The 22,147-nt window shown below is 37.5% G+C and overlaps 1 protein-coding gene across 3 annotated transcripts in view; it reads left to right on the plus strand.

Moving 5' to 3' along the window:
• The window catches only part of PLXDC2 (plexin domain containing 2), a 473,425-nt gene that overhangs the window by 252,364 nt on the left and 198,914 nt on the right, over positions 1-22,147 (plus strand). The gene's annotated exons all lie outside the window — the stretch shown is intronic.

Here is a 22,147-nt window from a genome sequence, read left to right on the forward strand (position 1 = left end):
ATTTTATTTTTCTCCACAAGCTTGGAGGTTAGTTTAGAGATTAGCAATATCCTAGCAAAGTAATTATCATTCTTTATTGTACATCTCAGAAGTCAGAAATATTTTAGTCTTCAAGCGCTACTAGAAGCGATAAGGAAAATGCCAGGGAATATCCCTGTAGGCTTTATGATGCAGGGGTAGGGAAGAAGGAGAAAAACACATAAAAATGGAACAGTAAGTAAAGAAGTAATTGAAAGAAATTCCATAGGTGTACAAAGAGGCTGTGAGCATCTATGCCCAAAGCACCATAGACAGAGTCTCTTTCCTTCACTGAATCTTACCAGGGGTCTTCTGGATGGTGTGGAGACCATGTTAAGTATTGCCATTTTTTGCCATACTTTAATATAAGACCTAGAAGATATTTAGGATTCAGAAGAAGATTTGTAATCAGAAATATCAACAAGTAACTGGAAGTTTTTTGAGCACCAACTCTGAGTGATGGTAAATAAGTCTACCACTGCCTTAGAGGTGTGTAGCTTAGTGGAATATTAGGCAAAGTGAAGGAGAATATGGGGAATTGCTTAGGAAATACAAATGATGAAATATGCCCAGGTGCAGTGGCTCATACCTGTAGCTACTTTGGAAGCTCAGGTGGGAGGATCGCTTGAGCCCAGGAGTTGAAGACAAGCCTGGGCAACACTGTGAGACCCTATATCTACAAAAACATTTAAAAAATTAACCATGGTGGGGTGCTCCTGTAGTCCCAGCTACTCAGGAGGCTGAGGCAGGAGGACCACTTGAGGCCAGGAGTTTGAGGCTGCACCGAGCTATGGTCATGCCATTGCACTATAGCCTGGCTGACAGAGCAAGACTCTATCTCTGAAAATAAAATAAATAAAATGAAATAATTAGCTGGTATGATGGCATGCATCTGTAGTCTCAGCTACTTGAGGGGTTGAGGCAGGAGGATCACTTGAGGCCAGGAGTTTGAGGCTGCAGTGAGCTATGACCACACCACTGCACTACAGCTTGGGCAACAGAGCAAGACCCTGTCTCTAAAGAAAAAACAAATGAAAACCAGAAAAAGAAAATACAAATGATAAGCTATGGGTTTCCAGGGATGATATAACTGAGACATCTATGAGTTTCAAGTGAGAGTTGTTTAAGACTATAGAAAAATTGTTGTTCAAAGTTTTTCTTGAGGATGTCAGAATTTCTACGGTTGTGTAGAGAAGGAAGAGAGGATCACAGAGAGGAAGATCCTGAGTAAATATACAGATGAGGAGAATGGTAGGGTATATTTGGGATAGTAAATAATTGAGTTTGAGTTATGTCAATGGTATCTTTACCAAAAAATGTGGCATGTTAAGATTGGAAAAGTAGGTTGGGACAATTTTACAAAATGCCATAAGGGATAGTTCGAGTCATTAGTCCTTAAGTAATAAACTTTAAGAAGATGAATATAGATGTGTGTATAATACATTAAAGTGTAGAAAGACTGAAGTTAGTACATTTAACTGGAAGAATATTGCAACTATTTGTGTGAAAAATATTGAAGCCCTTGGTGATTTTGTTGCTTCAACCCAAGGAAAAGGAATCATACTATTGGTACCAAATACAGAGTCAAGAAACACTGGCTTTAGGGAGAACCAGTGACTTCAATAGTGAAACTTAAATTTTGTGTGAAAATAAAAAGGAATATATCTAAATGAAATTGCTCACAAGAAGTATGTCTTTTGACCTCATCGGATATATCCAGTATAGTGCCAGGCATTTAATTAATTTTGTTGAAGGGTTAAATGAAAAGGGAAGAGGAAAATTGAAAGGTGGCCCCAATAAGCCATGAATCATATCCTGTCCACTCATGTCATAAAATATAATAGAAATATGGTGATTCTAAAATACCGACATTAGGCATGTTTTCTGAAATTTAGGTGAACAGTGTTCTATTGAATTTTTCAAAAAGTTAACTATGAACCATATGTGCTTAAAATGTGTACACACAGTGTAAAAATAATGACAGCTTTGCATTTTCAATTTCTCAAATTGTTTTATCTTTAAAACTCATGTCAGCAATTCAGCCAATATGAAGTAAGATTTCTCCTAGCGGAACTGGCAGGATCAAACCCAACCAGATAGCTACATCATCCTTGCGATTTCAAAGTGCCATTTTCCTTTGTAAAGATCCTCAAAATAAGTGAAAAAAAAAAAACCTAGCATCCTGAATGATCTCTATCTTCTTTGAAGAAAACACTAATGTAAAGACACTCCTTTTGTTTCTCTACTTAAAACACACTAGCACGCAACTTGCATATAACAATCTGTGCTCTATTTAAAGAGGCAGAGTCAAGATAATCTACACATTGACCTGGGTGTCTTCAAAATGAAACCTGAGTCTCATGTAAAAGGTTCCAGCAAAATACATAGCTTGCTTGCTCTTTCTTTGTTCATTTCATTCAATCAGTGTTTCTTGAGCCCCTAGAAAACACAAAGCACAAGATGCGTCATTATATACAGAGAAGGATAAGCTAAGTTCAGGAGCTTAGAGTCAAAAAAGAGGAAGGGGTGTTGATATGGTTTGGCTGTGTCCCCAATCAAATCTCATCTTAAACTGTGGCTCCCGTAATTCCCATATGTTGTGGGAGGGACCACGTGGGAGGTAATTGAATCATGGGGGCAGGTCTTTCCTGTGCTGTTCTCATGATTAGTGAATAAGTCTCAGGAGATCTGATGATTTTATAAAGGGGAGTTCCCCTGCACACACCCTCTCTTGCTTGCCACCATGTAAGACATGCCTTTACTCCTCCTTTGCTTTCTGCCATGATTGTGAGGCCTCCCCAGCCATGTACAACTGTGAGTCCATTAAACCTGTTTCCTTTATAAATTACCCAGTCTTGGGTATGCCATGAGAAAAGACTAATACAGGCATGCTGCGAATAAGCAATAGAGAAGGCTGACTGCAGGTGCTGAAAGAGCAGGAGCTTGCTGAAAAAGGAGATCATGCTTGTTGGGCCAGTCAATTAAGAAGAGTCTGGGAAAGTGATAATCTTTGGCATTGGCCTTAGAGGAAGGTAGAATTTTAGTAGGCAAAGAGGCAGTTGAGAAGAAGTGGAGAAGGAAGAGGCATTCCAGACAAGGGGATGCTGAGTTAAATGACAGTGCTGAAACCATATTGGGTATATTTGGAGGGCTGTCAACTAAATTAGTTTATCCTGAAGAGAGGGTTGGAATGAGTCTAGTGAAGGGGAGTTGGGAAGAATGTTGTGGAGTACTTTGAACGTTAGAAATCTTGCCGGTCATGGTGGCTCATGCCTGTAATCTCAGCACTTTAGGAGGCCGAGGTGGGCGGATCACCTGAGGTCCAGAGTTTGGATCGCCTGAGGTCCAGAGTTTGAGACTAGACTGCCCAACGTGGAGAAACCCCATCTCTACTGAAAAAAACAAAATTAGCCGGGCATGGTGGCACATGCCTGTAATCCCACCTACTCAGGAGGCGGCGACAGGAGAATCGCTTGAACGCTGGAGGAGGAGGTTGTGGGCAGCCAAGATAGCACCATTGCACTTCAGCCTGGGCAACAAGAGCAAAACTCTATCAAAAAAAATAAAGAGAGAAAGAGGAAAGAAAGAAGAAAGAAAGAGGAAAGAAAGAGAGAAAGAAAGAAGAAAGAAGGAAAGAAAGAAAAAGAAGAAAGAAAGAAAGAAGGAACAAAGAAAGAAAGAGAAAGAAAGAAAGAAAGAAAGAAAGAAAGAAAGAAAGAAAGAAAGAAAGAAAGAAAGAAAAGGAAAGAAAGGAAGAAATCTAGATGACATCCAGCAAGCATTGGGTTTCTTAGAGAAGTAGATCTGGCCTGATCTGTCAGTGGAAGGCAGGTTAGGGTGAAGGGGGTGAAGGCAGAAAAAATAGTTACCAGTTGTTTGAATACTTGCTTGTGGGATACAGTGTCTGAACTAGGATGGGTGCAGTGGGAAAACACACATGGAGCCAGTGCAAAACACATCATTTGAGTTGTTAAATCACTGTGGTTGGAAAGACTTCCAGACAAAAGGATCCACTAGGATGCAGTGAATCAAGCTAAGAACAGCTTCAAGGACTTCTGAACCATAGACTTTTGATGGATCTCTTCCGTGATTGACTAGACAGATACTATAATCAGATAGTCCTATTTGACAGATGCTTGTCAGCCTTACAAATCTTAAAAATGTTCTTAACCATGGAAGGCTTGGACGGAAAATGGAAACCACAAGTCAGGTTAAATAAAGTTGACTACAGGCCATTCTAAATAGACCTGGGCTGGGAGTTTTAAGTAGAAACACAAAAGATGCTTCTTTTGTTGACTGTCAGTTCTTTTTGTGTTTACAAATTCCTCTTGAACCTGTTTCTACATTGGGTGTGGGAAAAATTAAAGTGATATGTTTTCATGGTGAATCCATGCTGTGCAAATAAATAAAGGGAATGCTTTAAACCACAATCCTCTTCATCTTACTTCATTGTTTTGCCATTTCCCTTATTTCCTTGAAATCTATCTCTCTCCACACAGACACAAATTTAACATTGAAATTAAGTCAAGATAATGTCTCATGTTATTGCTAAGGTCAGCACAATTTAAAAATGGAAAGTTGTTTAACAATATAGACATATACATCGTTCCACAGCCCCTCTTTGTATGTTGTATGTATTTTACTACGAATAAGCTTAAGTTTCTAGTTTAAAATGTGAATTATAGCTAAACATCTGGTCATTTATAAACTATAAAAATAGAATCTTTGCCTATTAAGCATTTTAATATTCAAAAGCTTCAATCATCCTTATGTACAAAGTGAATTGGAAATATCATCTTTATTTTCTGGTTCACTGATAGTGGAATCTGAAAGCATTCATTTATCTTTCTATGTCAAAAATACTTCAGAATACAAATATTTCAGGCACTAGAAACCTAGTTCTCTGTGAATTTCATCAAAACAGTTTCATTAGTGATACCACCAAGATGTGTTTTTTGCATATCACACTACATTATTTTCTTTCTATTTCAATATTTTAATTGGTTCTTTTTTATTATTAGCCTGCTAGTGTGATCTTTTAAATGTTCAAAAATGTAGATTTAAGTTTGAGGATTTGATTTGTAATCAAATAGCTATCACTAGGAATGATGTTTTTACCTGAGTCCGTCATGGGTACCATTACAGTGATGAGATGGGAGCATGTGAGATGGGTTAATTACAACTTTATGTAAAGGGGAAGAGAAGAGGTAACATTATACAGATAATTTTGGCCCCAGAATGTAAGTATGTAGACAGATGGTGGTTCTTAATTAAGATAATATGTGGAATTGTGGGAAGTTGAATATGAGATTGAAAAGCAAAGGTGATATGAATTTAAAAGCTAATAATGAATGTGTATTACTTACCTTGATCATAGGAAGAATTTGCCTTCCCTTTCTACACAGGTTTCTACTTACAGATTTCATAAGAAAGCTGTTTAAATTTTAGCTCTATTTTATTTCATTTGCTACGTAAAAGATTAAAATGTTTATTAAGTAATACCTGTACATATCTGAAAAACTAATAACGTGGACATTTAACAAGTCAAACAGGCAAAAGTAAAATGTAAATCTCCCTTCTTCCTTTGTCTCTTAGTTCACCAGTTTCCCTCCCAAAAAAAAATACCTTACTTTTTGAGGTATGGTATATTAAAATTCAAACTTAGAGTAGTTTCCTATATCTGGCCAATAATCATTAGCTTTTTTTCTGTTTAAATTCCCACTAAGAGAGATTTTTTAAAAATATTAATGCATTTTATCTTCATTAGCTTTTCAGGAAATATATTACCAAATCTCCCTGCTCCTTTTTTGTTCTGGCTTTCAAATGGTAATATTTTAATTGTAGTCCCAAATAATATTTCATACTCTTTATAGGGACTTGATTAATAACAGGAATAAAAGGCTTTTTAGGAGAGGAAGATAGTTATTACTCATGATGATTGATTTGTAAATACCAACAACATCTTCTTTCAAGTGTATAACCCCATAAAACAAAGCATGGTGTATCCATTAACTTTCTGCATCTAGGGAGAAGGTGAATGGAGTTGTTTTGTATTATTATTATTATTAACAGAGATCACAGGTTATGGTAATCTGGAGATCTATGTGTTATGGAAGATACTAAAGAGATAGATGCTGGATGAAAGTAAATTCATTCCAACTTGCTTCAATGATTTAAAGTTACAAACTCAAGTCTCAAGGATTCCTAGAGAGAAAGATGAATTGCGTGATGTCTGATCTGCTGAATCTGAATAATTCTCTGAGATAGACCTCCAAAAACCTGAGAGTTCATCTGAGCTGTCTTCTTTGATAACTTACTCCTCCCTCAAACTGTCTAGTGTCAGCAGTAGATTCAGTAGCTTGACCATTATTATATATTTATTTCTTTATTTTGTAGACAGGATCTCACTCTGTCACCCAAGCTGGAGTGCAGTGGCACAATCACAGCTCACTGCAGCCTTGACCTCCTAGGCTCAAGTGATCCTCCCACTTCAGCTCCCCAAATAGCTGGGACTACAGGCATGCACCACCATGCCTGGCCAATTTTTAGATTTTTTTGTAGAGATGGAGTCTCATTATGTTGTCCAGGCTGATCTCAAACTCCTAGCCTCTAGCAATCCTCCCATCTCAGCCTCCAAAAGTGCTGGGATTACAGGTGTGAGACACTGCGCCAAGCTATGTTGTTTTGTCTTTCACGAATTTCATATTCACAACCACTTGTTTCTCCTGCATGTCTGTCCATACATGCTTTATTTCATTAGCACTGGCTCCTTGTGGCAGGGGTGGGAAGCATAATTGGAAATTAAGCCAGTAGGAGACCCAGAGAGAAAGCACCCAGGAGCAAGAGTTGACTCAATAGGAATCAGCAAGAAAAATACAAGAGACAGAAATATGGGTAGAATGAAGGAGAACAATTAGATGTAAACAAAACTGAGCAGAGCATTGGCACATGATGGATAAGTCATGATTTTAGGACAGGAATGGGGGAAGGTGGATCAGCTGAGACAAGGGTGTGGGTGAAAAACATGGTCTCCAGGCTCATCCCCTTCCATTGCCATAACAGCCACTGAAGTGTCCACTGATTGCTAGTGCTAGAATACTCCCTTACGGATGTTTATACCAGGAAAGCATCATTCATCTTCTTCCAGCACATCCAGGCTTTATTGGAAACACTGGCAATGATATTTTTGCTTGTAGCCTTTCCTAGTCACTGCAGCAGTAATTCAGATAAATAGCAATTTTACACAGATCCTGAAATACATCACCCAATTGAAAATAAAGGGTGTCTAAGTGACTCTGTGCAATTAATAAAGTAACAATATATGCCAGATGCTCTAACATTGTCGAATCCTGGAAAGTAAAGGAAAGAAATAGTAAATAGTGCAGGACTGACATTAGACCCTGGCCATTTCAGAAATGAGTTCAAAAGAGTTCCCTCAATTCCTACTTAAGCCAGAAATTGAGTTGCATTTTCTTAGAGAAGAAGTTAGGCTTCCAGGTTAAGATAAATAGACTTTTGAATCTGAATACTTCAGTTCATAAGCCAAGGCAATCGTAACTGTATGATCTTCAGCAAATGACTTAATCTCTCTGATGTCAGTTTCCTTGCCTATAAAATAGCACAATAAAAATACCTGGTGCATAAATTTGTTGTGATGACTAAATTAATTAACATATGTTAATGATACCTGTTTCATAGAAAATGCTACATAGATAGCATATGCTAATACTGCATTTTTCCCCCACTTACATTTCCTCCTTTATTTCTTTTCAAAGTGCTTTCTCTTTAAGTCCTGTGCTGCCTTTTTAGTTTGTCTGTTGTTTCCTTTGATGACCTCATTCATTAGATTTCTCTCCATAAAGCATAGAAGGGGTCTCAAGGAGTGTTTAGGAACCTAATCCATTGTCATCTCTAACTGCTCCTATTAAAGGCTGGCTCAACCACTGATGTCTGGGAAGTAGAATAGCATGTAAATAACTTGGGATGTCCGCTTGATCACCATGGCTATACCTATCATTTTTTGGTGCTGTTCAGAATCTCTCTAAAGACTGTCCCATGATGACATTTTGGGACTCTGGGACACTGTCTGGAAACCTTACAAAATTTAGCAATTTTGTAACACACGATAGAATCTCGAAATATTTCTCTAATTGTGACAGCATGGTTTATAACTGGGTAACAAGCATTATAATCAGTACGACATATATATTATTATACCCACGTATTCATTCTATCCTTTTTATAGCAAGAATTGTAGGGACAAGTCATCAAAGCATAAAGATAATCAAGGGTAAGATGACTGGGATGAGAATGGACATCCCCCTTGGTAGCAGCCAGGTAGCCTTTTAGCCTTGAGTTTTATTTAATTGCTAACAACCCAATTAAAAAATGTATTAAAGATCCAACCCCAAATGCAAAGTTAAATGTTAGTCCAATTTCTATGTGACATTTTGCCTTTGAACTGGGAAACAGATTTCTTTATGTGTAGTCATTATTTCATTACTACCTTTATTTTCAAGATATTTTTCTATTTTTTAATACATTACAGAAAACCAGTTGGTACAATGTGAAAGTAGGTAAAAAATATGCTCTCATTTAGAGCTATATAGCTCTGGAACTGAGACATAGTCATAAAAAAGTAATAGATCTAAATATTTTGTTGGCTAATTCTAATGGGGTTACGATGGGGTTAGACTACTTTGTTGATCTGACTAGCCTGAGGGCTACAGAGAGATTTTCATTTAATCTGCTAGAATTATTGTTCAAATGAGAAGCTTCTCCTGAAGGCAAAGAAAATGGAAGAAAATGTCTTTTAATTGGCTTATTGTCAATTTCCACAGCTAATTTTAAAAATAAGCACAATTTCGTTAATAGCTTATAGAGAAAATCCAAAGCACTTTTAGATGACTCCAGAAAAATATAAAATTAAGATAATTTAGAGCAATTAGATTTTGTAAACAAAAGTGTAAATTATAGAGTGAAAACATTAAAAATATTTTAATTGTGACAAAATACACAAAGCATAAAATTTGCCATTTATGAATTTACTGTTTATGAAGTTTTAGTCATTAAGCTCTGAAAAAACATTTTTTTCTCTCTTGTTCTTCTTCTCCTCCTCCTTCTCCCCTTCTTTTTCTTCTTCTTTGAAGCATGGTAATCTCTTCAGGTAACTTACTAGTTTCTTCCAAAATGCCTTGAAAACACAACTATTTTTCAAATCTTTACTCCAACGTATTTTCATAAGCCAGGTTTACTGTTCTCACACTCTCTTTTTAACCTTTCTACCTCTTAATAATTAAAGATTATCTTGCAGAAATTTTTAAAGCTATTTATTTTATATTAGATAGAATCTAATAAAACTTGAGACCAGCCTGGAAAACACGGTGAGACTTTATCTCTTCAGAAAAAAAAAATTAAAAATTAGCAGGGCATGGTGGTATGCTTCTGTAGTCCCAGCTTCTCAGGAGGCTGAGGCAGGAGGATGGCTTGAGGCCAGATGTTCAAGGCTGTAGTTAGCTACGATTATGCCACTGCACTCCAGTCAGAGTGACAGAGCAAGATCTTGTCTCTAAAAAAATAGAATAAAATCTAATAACTGATAATATAATTTGGAGATAATTGAGTGCTCCCAATTTCTATACAGTTTGAAAAATAAGAGTCATGGAACATTAGGTATGTAAAAATGAGTGTTATAAGATTATGTGTTAGCAGGGAAAGAATGTTATATCGTAATAATCAAGATACAATATTGTAAGTGTATTGTGATGGTAATTTTTTAGAAATACACAGCAATGGAAGGAAGAGCTAATACTGATTGCTTTGAAATGATGACATTGTGTTTATGTTTCTATTCCCTAGTTTCCAAGTATTCAGTTGAAAAATGTTGCTTATATTTCAGTCCTCTTGTAATAATAATTATAAGGAGTGAGTAGAAATCTGGTTTCTACCCATTTATTTTAACAGAGATGGGTACCCATTTGTTTTAACACTATTTGTCAGAGTTTATTTCTCCCACTGGTATTTAATGCTTCTTATATTCTGAATTCCCTTATTTTCCACAAGGTTTGAAATATATTATTTAAATTAACCTGATTTATTTTATCATGAAAATAAAATATAACAATGCATTAGAAGAAAACTAGAGAAGAATTATTTTATAATCCTGAGATTGGGAGCATTTTTCTAAGACTGATACAAAGCCCAGAAACCATAAATAAAAATATTGAAAAAAATGCATATAATAAAATTTTCATATATTAAAAATTCATGGCATTTAAACACCCTCACTTAAGAAAAGAGAAGTAAAACCTGGGAAATATTACAAGGAACTTAAACAAATTTACAAGAATAAATCAAACAACTCCATCAAAATTGGGCAAAGGATATGAACAGATATTTCTCAAAAGAATACATTTATGTGGCAAACAAACATATGAAAAAAAGCTCATCATCACTGGTCATTAGAGAAATGCAAATCAAAACTGCAATGAGATACCAGCTCATGCTGGTTAGAATGGTGATTATTAAAAAGTGAGAAAACAACAAATGCTGGCAAGGCTGTGGAGAAATAGGAATGCTTCTACACTGTTGGTGGGAATGTAAATTAGTTCAACCATTGTGGAAGACAGTGTGGCGATTCCAAAGGATTATAAATCATTCTACATAAACATGAATGTTTATTGCTGCACTATTTACAATAGCAAAGACTTGGAACCAACCCAAATGCCCATCAATGATTGACTGGATAAAGAAAATGTGGCACATATACACCATGGAATACTATGCAGCCATAAAAAAGAGTGAGTTCATGTACTTTGCAGGGACATGCATGAAGCTGGAAGCCATCATTCTCAGCAAACTAACACAGGAACAGAAAACCAAACACCACATGTTGTCACTCCTAAGTGGGAGTTGAACAATAAGAACACATGGACACAGGGAGGGGAACATCACACAATGGGGCCCGTCAGGGGGTAGGGGACAAGGGGAGGGAGAACATTAGGACAAATACCTAATGCATACAGGGCTTAAAACCTAGATGATGGGTTGATAGGTGCAGCAAACCACCATGGCACATGTATACCTATGTAACAAACCTGCACATTCCGCACATGTATTCCAGAACTTAAATTAAAAAAAGAAACAAAAAACAAGAAACAAAAAAATGGGAAAGGAAATATTTAAAACACATATGACAGTGAAAGGACTGTTCTCCTTAATATATAAAGAGCTCATTTAAGAAAAAGAGAACTGTAACAACTAAACAATGAGCAAATGACAAAGACAGTTTATTAAAAAGAAATTGCAGGAACTTCTGGTTTCTGGTATTTATTATAAAGCATTTGGGGGTTGTCACTCTCATTCTATCGAGAAAAAGCTAAACAAACTGAAAATCAACAATTTCTATTAGACCCATGAGAGAGCTGAGATTGCAGGTTGTATTAGGGTTCTGTAGAGGGAAAGAACTAATAGGATAGATGGATATATGAAGGGGAGTTTATCAAGGAGTATTGACTCACATGATCAAAAGGCGAAGTCCCCCAACAAGCCATCAGCAAACTGAGGATCAAGGAAGCCAGTATGAACCCCCAAACCTCAAAAGTAGGGAAGCCAACAGTGTAGTCTTCATTCTGTCCCTGAAGGTCTAAGAGCCCCTGGCAAACCACTGGTGTAAGTCCAAGAGTCCAAAAGCTGAAGATCTTAGAGTCTGATGTTCGAGGGCAGGAAACATCCAGCATTGGAGAAAGATGAAGGCCAGAAGAGTCAGCAAGTCAGCTTCTCCCACCTTCTCCTGCCTGCTTTATTCTAGCCTCTCTGGCAGCTGATTCGATGGTGCCCAACCCCATTGAGGGTGGGTCTGCCTCTCCCAGTCCACTGACTCAAATGTTAATCTTCTTTGGCAACATCCTCACAGACACAGCCAGGAACAATACTTTGTATCCTTCAATCCAATCAAGTTGACCCCATCACACAAGGCAAACCACTGTCCCCAAAATGTAGAGACACAGGCACATCCAAAGACACACAGAGGAGATCCGCCCATCTGGGGCAGAAGCCACTGCAACCACAGATTGCTAATAACACTTAAAAGGTAACTTCCACAAAGCTAGAATTTCAGTGTGGATTGGCCTAAGGGTCAGAAACTCCTGAGGATTCTAGTCTTAGGGGGACCTTTAAACTTCTGTGGGCTTGAGCCCCAGGAACCCCAGAAGGTTCTCCCAGTGAAGATGTGTGAAACTCCCGGATGGCTCTGCTGGAGCAAGGGAAGAGTAATCATTGTGAAATACACCTAGAGCCTTCTCCAGAACAAAGACCTTCCTAGGACCTTATCCTAGCTGGGGGAAAGTCATTTCTCCCACTGGAGCAAGCCCCTTGAGTCTCCTAGGCTCACATGAGGGAGAAATAAAAATTCATAGTCAACAAGAATCAAGACTTTAGGGAAATACATCTGGAATGCTATATCCAGGGAGGGGAATAGGAAGCAGGGAGGGGGAAAAACTATTCCACTAGAGACACCCTTAAGAGAGTCACAGCCTAAAGATACAGACCTACTAAATACTAAAGACTAAGAAACTTCTAATATTGAAATGCAAAGAAAAAAAATGAAAAAAACAAAAACAAAAGCAGAACAGAACATCAGAGACCAGTAGGATAATAATAAAAGTTGTAACCTCCATGTACTTAATTGGAATATCAGAAGAGAAGAAAAAGAGAAAGAATAAATGTTTGAAATAATAGCTGAGTGCTTTCCAAAACTGACAGATGTCAAACTAGGAAGCTCGGAGAAAAACAACTGGAAAATCACCAAAAAACCACATGTAGGCATATTATTTGCCAACAAACAAACAAACTTTAAATAAACCAGATAAAACTACACCTCTCTGCAAAATACTCAACCAGTATTCCTCAACTGTCCAGGTCATTAAATAAAAACAGGAGAAGTCTGGCCGGGCACAGTGGCTCATGCCTGTAATCCCAGCACTTTGGGAGGTGAAGGTGGGCGGATCACAAGCTCAAGAGATTGAGACCATCTTGGCCAACATGGTGAAACCCCATCTCTACTAGAAAAAAATTTTAAAAAATTAGCTGGGCATGGTGGCGCATGCCTGTAGTGCCAGGTACTTGGGAGGCTGAGGCAGGAGGATTGCCTGAACCCAGGAGGCAGAGGTTGCAGTGAGCCGAGATTGCGCCATTGCACTCCAGCCTAAGTGACAAGAGTGAAACTCCATCTGAAAAAAAAAAAAAAAAATCAAAAAAAAAAAACAGGAGAAGTCTGAGAAACTATCACAGCTAAGAGGAACATAAGGAAACATAACAGCTAAATATAATGTCATATTGTGGATATAATTCAGGAAGATAAAAAGGACATTATGTAAACAGAAAAATCTGAATACATTTAGTTAATAATTCAGCTAATTATATATCAATATTCAATATCAATAATTCAGCTAATAATTATATATCAATATTGTTTCAAAAATTTTGACAAAGGTATCATACCTTTGTCAAGGGATGTATGATGTCGGTAGTATGGGAAATCAGGTGTGGAGTATATGGGAGGCCTATACTGTCTTTGCAACTTTCTGTACATGTAAACTTATTCTAAAATTAAAAGTTTATTTTTAAAAAAGGAAATACAAGTAGCTGTTACACATATTAAATAATACATAATATCACTCCTAATAAGTGAAATGCAAGTTAAAACTATAGAGATGCTGTTTTTACTTGAGTGATTTTCAAAGGATTTTTAAAAAACAAGTTTTGTAGCTCGATATTTTCTATAAGGTATGGAGTAAAGAAACTCTCAAGCTTTGCTGATGACAATGTATCGTTATCCACTAAAATATAAAATGTATAACTAACACTGTGATTTCTACTCGTAAAAATGTATCTTGTAGGTGTATTTGTTTGTGAACAATGTGTATAAGGATATCCACTGCTAAAGACTGAAAACCACCTAACGCCCATCACTGAGGATGTTCAGGTTTTGGACAGGTTAAATAAACTACTGGGAACCCATAGAGTAGAATACTATGTGGCCTTTAAACAGAATGAGATATTTAATGTATGCCTATTTAAAAAAACAGAACACCACAGGATGCAGATAAATGTTACTTACATATATATGTACATATATGTATGTATGTATGTATGTATGTGTACAGACAGATGTATTTATACATGTATAAGCTATCTCTAAAATAATTTGGAAGAAAAGTAGATATGCTTCCAAGTGAGCAGAAAAATCTCTAGACAGATATACAAGAAACTATTAATAGTGGTAACCCCCTAAGAGACTTGACAGATGGCTGGAGATCAGGAGTAGGAAAGAGATGTAATTTTCACAATCATCTGTGCTTTTCAAATTATTACTATGTGCGGCCGGGCGGGGTGGCTCACACCTGTAATCCCAGCACTTTGGGAGGCCAAGGCGGGTGGATCACCAGGTCAGGAGATTGACACCATCCTGGCTAACATGGTGAAACCCCGTCTCTACTAAAAAAATACAAAAAATTAGCCGGGCGAGGTGGCATGCGCCTGTAGTCCCAGCTACTCGGGAAGCTGAGGCAGGAGAATGGTGTGAACCCGGGAGGCGGAGCTTGCAGTGAGCCGAGATCGCGCCACTGCACTCCAGCCTGGGCAACAGAGCGAGACTCCGTCTCAAAAAAAAAAAAAAAAAATTACTATGTGCATGTATTACTTTTCAAACAGCATTAATATTTAAAATTCTTTTTGGTAAGACTGGATAGGAATAATTTCTGCAGTGTATGTATTTGTTTTTATTTAATAGCATCTTGTAATATGTATTTGTCAAACAAAATTAACAATATTTAAAAGAGTATGCAGTATAAAGCTTTCTTCATAACTATTTTATTTCCAAATTTTTTAGAGCTTGAGGCAGTATAAATTGCTGATAAAATTGCCTATTTTGTTAAGAAAAATTATTTAAATTGTGTATTAAAGGGCTTATGAGTACCATTCTAAAACAAGGGACCCACAACACTAGTTTATTACATTCAAGATTCCTCTGGATAAAACTGAATTAATATCAAATTGCTGAATGTTGCAGTGAAAGAAGGACAGAAAAAAGATTTTCATGATTCTTGGTTGAAATGTAACAGTCCCACTAGGAATAGTAAGTATCCCCATTTAATTAACCAATACATATTTTTATGTTATTGGCAACTATTTAATTAACAATGTTATAACTACAAACTAAAAACAGATTCCCCAGACTAAGGAGAAACAGGAAAATCTAAGTGGTTTGTAGGTGTTATCATAAGTCTTACAGATTTGGCAGCAAGAAGCACTGGGACTTCAAGAGTAGACCAATGCGGAAAAGGAGGTGGGTTAGAAATGGGTAAGGCCAAGACTGGTGGAGCTCCTCTTGCAGGATGGCCAGACATTTTTAAATTAGGTTGTCCAAAGGGCTTAGTGACTTTGGGCTTTAAGCTGAGCAGGAGTCAAATTTTGGAAATAGAGCTCTTTTGGACCAAAGCGATACTTAAATTCACTTAAGTCACAATGTCCTGATTGGAGGCACCCTGTCTTTGAGTAAGGCTCCAAAAAGCAGGAGGAAGCCTTATAGCAGGAAGGTGGTGTGAGAACACCCAGTAACACCTCCCTGAAGCCACAGTGGGGAGTCATTCTGGGCTGACCTTATAGCAGGCCTTGTAACAGGGTAGTGGGATGAGAAGACTCAGTAATACCTTCATGAAGCTACAGTGGAGAATCATTCTGAATATCTGAGATTCCTTGTGGAAGGCAGGTAGAAGGCAGCTGCCCAGGTAAGGCATAAGGCCAGAGGCTAGTTTAGGCAAGAAGGAATAAACTAGCCTCTGGCCTTATACCTTAACTTCCAGACCATGAGATTCCTCTAAAAAGACAGTTGTGTTTAACGACACAGAGCTGCTGGCTGCCCTTGTAGATACACCGTTGGACAGAAGGAAAGGCTGGCCTGATAGGACAGTCACAAATTTCCTCTATCTTATATTTGGTCAAGAATGTGTACAATGAAGGCTTTCAGGACCAGATGCTGAAGGTGCTCACGAAGGCCGTGGCAGAGGAAAAAAAAAAAAAAATAACATGAGTTCTGGTTCTGGAAAAGTATCCCTATCGAGAAAGCTGTACCTTTTTAATATGATCTCAGTGGCATCTTTCTTTCAGTGTCTTTCCTATGCAATAAATATCTTGCCTTTTTCATATGTAAATGGCACAACCCTCGGGTCAAGGACAAAAGTGTGCATTTCTTTTTTCCTCCAGAGTTGCTGGGTTGTTTTGTCCAATGGTACCTTCTACAGCATTTCTCCAAGCAGCTTGGCACCGTTAGTACCAAGCTCTCATCTGTGTGCTTAAAAAAAGGTGGGGGGAGCCTATGTGATTTAGGTTTTTTGTTAAAAAAAAAAAATCTTAGTTTCATAGACTAAACTGCAGCTGTGTTTCTCAACAGTTTGTGTGCAGCAGGTGGCTAGCACAGAACTGATAAAATGTTAGAATGCATCGCAGACGCTGCCTCAGAGAATTGCCTGGAGTGTTTCTCTAAAATGTCCTTAGCTGTTTCCTGCTTACAGGGCCTGCTCTGGAATTTCCGTGCGGGAGGTGCTGAGGGTCAGTAACCTGGTTAGAAGGTGAGGGAAGGGGAAGGATGATCTGCTACATGATATTTAAGCTGAATTTGCATAGCATCCACATTTTTGTTGCTAAGATTGTTTCATTTTAGTAAAAATAGCAACATTTTCTAATGTTTCAAATTTCAAACTGTATACAAGATTAGTACTTAGAATTAATTATTATGATTTGATTTGGGGAGACATGGGAAAGTGATATGGATATGCGGACCCAAAGCCCATCTAAGTACCTCTAGGTACCACCACTCCTACACAGTTAAGACCTTCTGACACTTGGACCCAGGCATGTCATTTTTTCAACACCTCCCTCAAGATGATTCTCTTGTTTAATGTGCACTCCTACAGAAACAAAATGCACTTTAAGAAACAGACTGCCTTTATATAACATCTGGTCAGTGAGAACTATGTAGTAAAAACTGTAGTTATAAAAATCATTCTATTTGCACCATCAAGAAAGCAATTAGAGGTTTTAGGCATAAATTCCTACAGCTGCCTATAAATGGTAAAAGGAAAAACTAAGCCACTACTCATCCCTCAATAGAATCTAATTACTTTCTTGTAATGGTTTGCTTGACAAATTCAGATTTAGACTGCAAAGCAGGATATTGTTCTTACAAGGCTCAATGTCACCTCTGTTTTATTTCTGTCATCCTGAGTTTTTCTTTGGGGACACATACTTGTTATTTTCACTGGTTTGTGGTCTGATGGTATTTAAAGAGAGCTAGTGCTTGTTGACGAGACAGGGTTTCACCCTGTCTCCGAGGCTGGAGTGCAGTGGGGTGGTCACAGCTCACTGCAGCCTCGACCTCCTGGACTGAAGGAATCCTCCCATCTCAGCCACCCAAATAGCTGGGACTTTAGGCACAAGCCAGCACACCTGACTACTTTATTTTATTTTATTTTATTTTATTTATTTTTTAATTTTTTTTTTGTAGAGACTGGGTCTCCCTATGCTGTCCAGGTTGGTCTCAAACTCCTTGCTTCAAGCAATCCTCCCACCTCAGCCTCCCAAAGTGCTGGGATTACAGGCATGAACCATTATGCTCAGCCTTGTTATGCTGTATTTTTAGGAAATAAGGGCATTTTGCATGTTCTTTTTGACATTTTCCTAAATGCAAAGCATGGGTTTACGGGCGCCTCTCAGCTTCTTCCAAATGCAGAATTTGGGACGGCCTCTTCAAATTCACATTATTGTTGCCATTTGGATAATATCTAAACATGGTACATAGAAGAGAAGGTTTTCTTTTTCCTCCCCTTCGAGAACAGGATTCAAAGAGACAGCATCTGTCACAATCACCTCATTAAAATCACCCATTCTTGAAGTGAACATTTGTAGCAGCTCCTTGAAAAATCAAGCCTGTAGCACGCCTAAGCAGTTAACTTCAAAAAAGCAATGTAATTGCCAATCTGAATAACTGTTGTGCCACTTATACATGGCTTGTATTAAAAGCAATGTCTCTCCAAAGATTAAAGCCTACCATATAGAGCCTGTTGGATCCTAAATCTAAGGCAAAAGAACATAGAAGATATTTCTTCCAAATTTTAAAGGATAAAGAATACCTTCATAATTAGTAAGGAATTCCTGTGAGCCCCTAATTCTGAAGACGCAACAAAAATAAAAAACAATGTCAAAAAGATCATTTCAAAGGGTTTGAATTTTATGACATACAAATCTATTTCAGGTTGTTAGTTCAAATGCATGGCCTGTCTTTCCTACAGGAGTCAAAACTGCTTTGCTTTGTAGCAAGGCTAGGCAGGTCTACACAGGCCCCAGAATTGTATCTGAGAACCACATATTAAATTTGCAGATACCACCCTCACCTCCATACTCTGGCTTGCAGAGGAGGTGTTCATGTGAGCTGTTTAGCTCAAAGATATTGAGGATCTACCTGTAACTCAGAGAATATTTAAGATAATTTATTACTACTAAAAATGGTTGGCTTGCTGAGTAATTAAAAAAATTTGCCAAGTTGTCCATTTCCATGTAGTAAAGCACAATTCATCATTCTTATTCCATTTGCCTTCCACGGAGAGTAACTTCCAGCCAATAAATACTGATGTTGTCCAGGGAGATATTTCTTGAGCTACATATGTAAAACCCTGAGTGGTTACAGATCCAATAGGAGCTTCTAACCATATGGAATTTTTCTTCCTCCAATAGATGCAGTTTAAATAGTTAAGCCTTGACTTGCTGGCAGTTGGATATACTATCTCTGATGAAGAGCCACTTGCTAGCAATGAAAAAGCAATTTCTTAACCTAATGAAGTAGTTAATTTAAAACCAAGGCCGATATATTTGCAGTTTGTTTTAAAAGAAAAATAAATAGGCTACATTTAGTAGTAGCATTTCTGTTACGGGACTGTGGTTTTCATGGCCCATTTGTATTTCATCCGAATTTTTTTATTAATAATTTCCCTACCACTTCCAACATATTCATGAACCTCCCCAGTGTTTTAATCAAGGGCACAAAGGACACATTGGTATGACATTTGGTCACACTGCCATCTTCATGCCTTAACTTGAACGCTAATGAAGTGCATTTTAGCCCATGTAGAATGAAAGAAACGGAAGGGATAAGTTCCTCTGGAACAGGCTCTATAATCATTATTCTTTTTTTTTCCTAAAATCAAAATGATCTAAACAGCCATGGGTCAAAGAGTGAACATTCAAATACTTCAGAGCACTAGAGACCTAAGCAGCCTGGAGTTGTTTCAAATCTACTTTAACTCTGCTTCTGACAAGTGGTCCCTAATGTGTAGAGTAACGATATCTCCTAATGCTGCAATTTCTGTGCCAATGCTTATTTTACATAGCTACAATGAAGGAGCTAAATGTTTCCAGTATGTATTAAATATTTTAGTGAAGATCCCCAAGGCAAATGAGAATTTGTAGCCTTGCAATTAAGAGGAAAGCAGAATTACTAGTGAATAAGGTATTTTTCTTGGTTGAGAAGAATTACTGGAGTTCAGCATTTTAGTGAACAGCTGTTACTCTGGGATAACTATGATTTCATAACAGTTGTAAAGCCTATTGTTAGTACTAGAGTCTGCTGTTTACATGGGACACTGCTGGGTACTGTTGAGGAAACCAAAAGGCATGATCTTTGTACCCAAGAAAGGTAGAGATAGATTGTAAACACCACCCATAGGAAACTATTCATAATTTCCACCTCATAGGTAGGCAACAGAGTCTGTTGGTTAAAGGGCAATCTATGAAATAATATGGCCTTGGTTCACATCTTGTCTCTGCTATTTACAGCTTTGTGTCTTCTTTTCCTTAGCTGTCTTATCTGAAAATTGGGTATATCAATCACACCTATCTTAAAAAATATTATGAGGATTAATATTATACTTTAAGTGCCTAGAGCAGTCCTTAGCAAATGCTAAACACTCAATGAAAATTTGCTACTTTTATATTTGCTAAGGAATGCTCTATGATTTAGGAGTATTAATACTGCATATCATTTTTCCTCCAAATTTTGCATTTGACCTTGTCTGGAGCACATCGCTTTTGGAATACTCAGGCATAAGCTGGGCTCACAACTCATTGTGAAACTCATTCCAGCATCTGTCTTCTTTCAGCAGTGGATGATTGAATCTGTGCTTTGTCAGAACCATAACAAATACATGTCATGGATCTTCAGAACTACTTAGAGTCAAAATACGGAACATTAACATAAGTAAAATTTAAAGGTCTGCTGTTAAATTAAAAAAAAACCTGTATATACGTGTGTGTGTGTGTGTGTGTGTGTGTGTGTGTGTGTGTGTGTGTGTTTAAATACAATGTAGAGATGTTAGCAAAGGCTTTGCAAGCTCAAACATAAAATCAATTTCCAATGTATGAGTCATGAATGTATTTACGGAAGAAGTAACATTTGGCTTGAATCTTGAAGCAAGAGTGGGCTTGTGGTAGGCTGAGAAGCTGGGGAAGGGAATTGCAGGCAGCAGAAGTAGAAGTACAGGTAAACTGCACACATGTGTTTCGAGACTGTTGAGTAGTTCAGTGACTTGTCCCTAAGATTCATGGTGAGAGTTACTAAGAGAGAAGGCCAGGAAGACAGATGAGGAACATTATATACAAGTCCTTGATATTAGGAGAAGGTTAAACTAACTTTATTTACTAACCAGTAAGCTGGGGTCATTGAAAGTTTTATGGAGAAAATTACTATGGTTTTCTTTTGTCTGTATCATGGAAGGTAGATGGAAAACAGGGTCCTGGCCATAATTTTCCTAGTTTGATTAAAAAACAGTGGTGCGTAAATTGGTCCAAGGTGAAAGACTACAAAGGAAGCATTTGTGAGAGAATAGTGCATTGACAAAACTTTTACTATGTGCTAGTTCACTGCAGGTAAAAGAGAGCCCAAGAGAGAATAATAATTAACTGATATAAGAAACACAGAACAAATAAAATTCATACATTTTGTGATGGTCCCATCTTTTTTATTTTAACACAGACTCCATCTTGACTTTGTAAGGATGACATGACCGTTAGGTTCAAGTCCTTTTTTTCAGATTAGAGGGAAGGCTCATCGTTGCCTTGACTTGGGCACCCTGGTAAACCATGGCCTTGGTTAGTTATCATTGCCAGTGGCACCGCAGAGTGTCAAGGAAGCTGGCTCACCACAAATGAAGCTGAATCTTCCCAGTTGGTAAACCAGCTGTCCTAAGTGCTGGGTGCACAGAGCCCACAGATGTTCATGGTGGTTCAGCAGTGGTTCATATGTCTATCTTATGCCATGGAAGATGACAGGAGAATGAAATATAAAACAGAAAAATGCCCATGTGTATTTTCAGATACCAGGTTATTTTTTCAAGTTCAAGTACAATTCCCACCAAAATCAAGTAACAGCAACTCTTTCTCACAGAATATAAAGCAACACCCTTATGTTCACCAGCAACATCTGAAATGGTAATAGAGGATTAGGAAGCCACAAAATCCAAGCAAGAGGTGGCCCTGGTGGTGAGAACAGTCAATGAATGAGATGGAGGGGAAGATATGCAGGGAGACGAGTTGTGGAGTTTTTTTACCCCCATGCCCTGGAAACAATATTGTCCATATATTTAAACTTATTTTTCCAACTATATGCATTCTTCTCACTAGCTCACCTTCCTTCATATTGTGCCACATAAATATAATATTTAAGGTACATTTAATGCCTCCAGTAGAGTGATTCCTTAGCAAGGTAGAAAAAAATTACAGAAAAGTCCTGAAATTCTGAAGTTGGATATTTTCTCTGTGCATAATACTTGTGAATATTCCATTAATGTTGTACACGACTTGCACAATATTTTTGACAGAAACTGACATTACTTAGTTAGCTTATTAACAGCTCCAGAAAATAATTACCCCACAAAATATATCTTAAAAGGTAAAGATTTATCAGATGTTAATATTAATTTAAAAAGCATACTTTTAAACAATATCATTAGTATCATGAATGTGCTATCCCATTGGCACAATTCTTATATTAAGGTATTTTCCTTAGAAAATGCAATCAAGT

The sequence above is a fragment of the Homo sapiens genome, chromosome 10 (assembly GCF_000001405.40).
Source record: "Homo sapiens chromosome 10, GRCh38.p14 Primary Assembly".
NCBI lineage: Eukaryota > Metazoa > Chordata > Mammalia > Primates > Hominidae > Homo > Homo sapiens.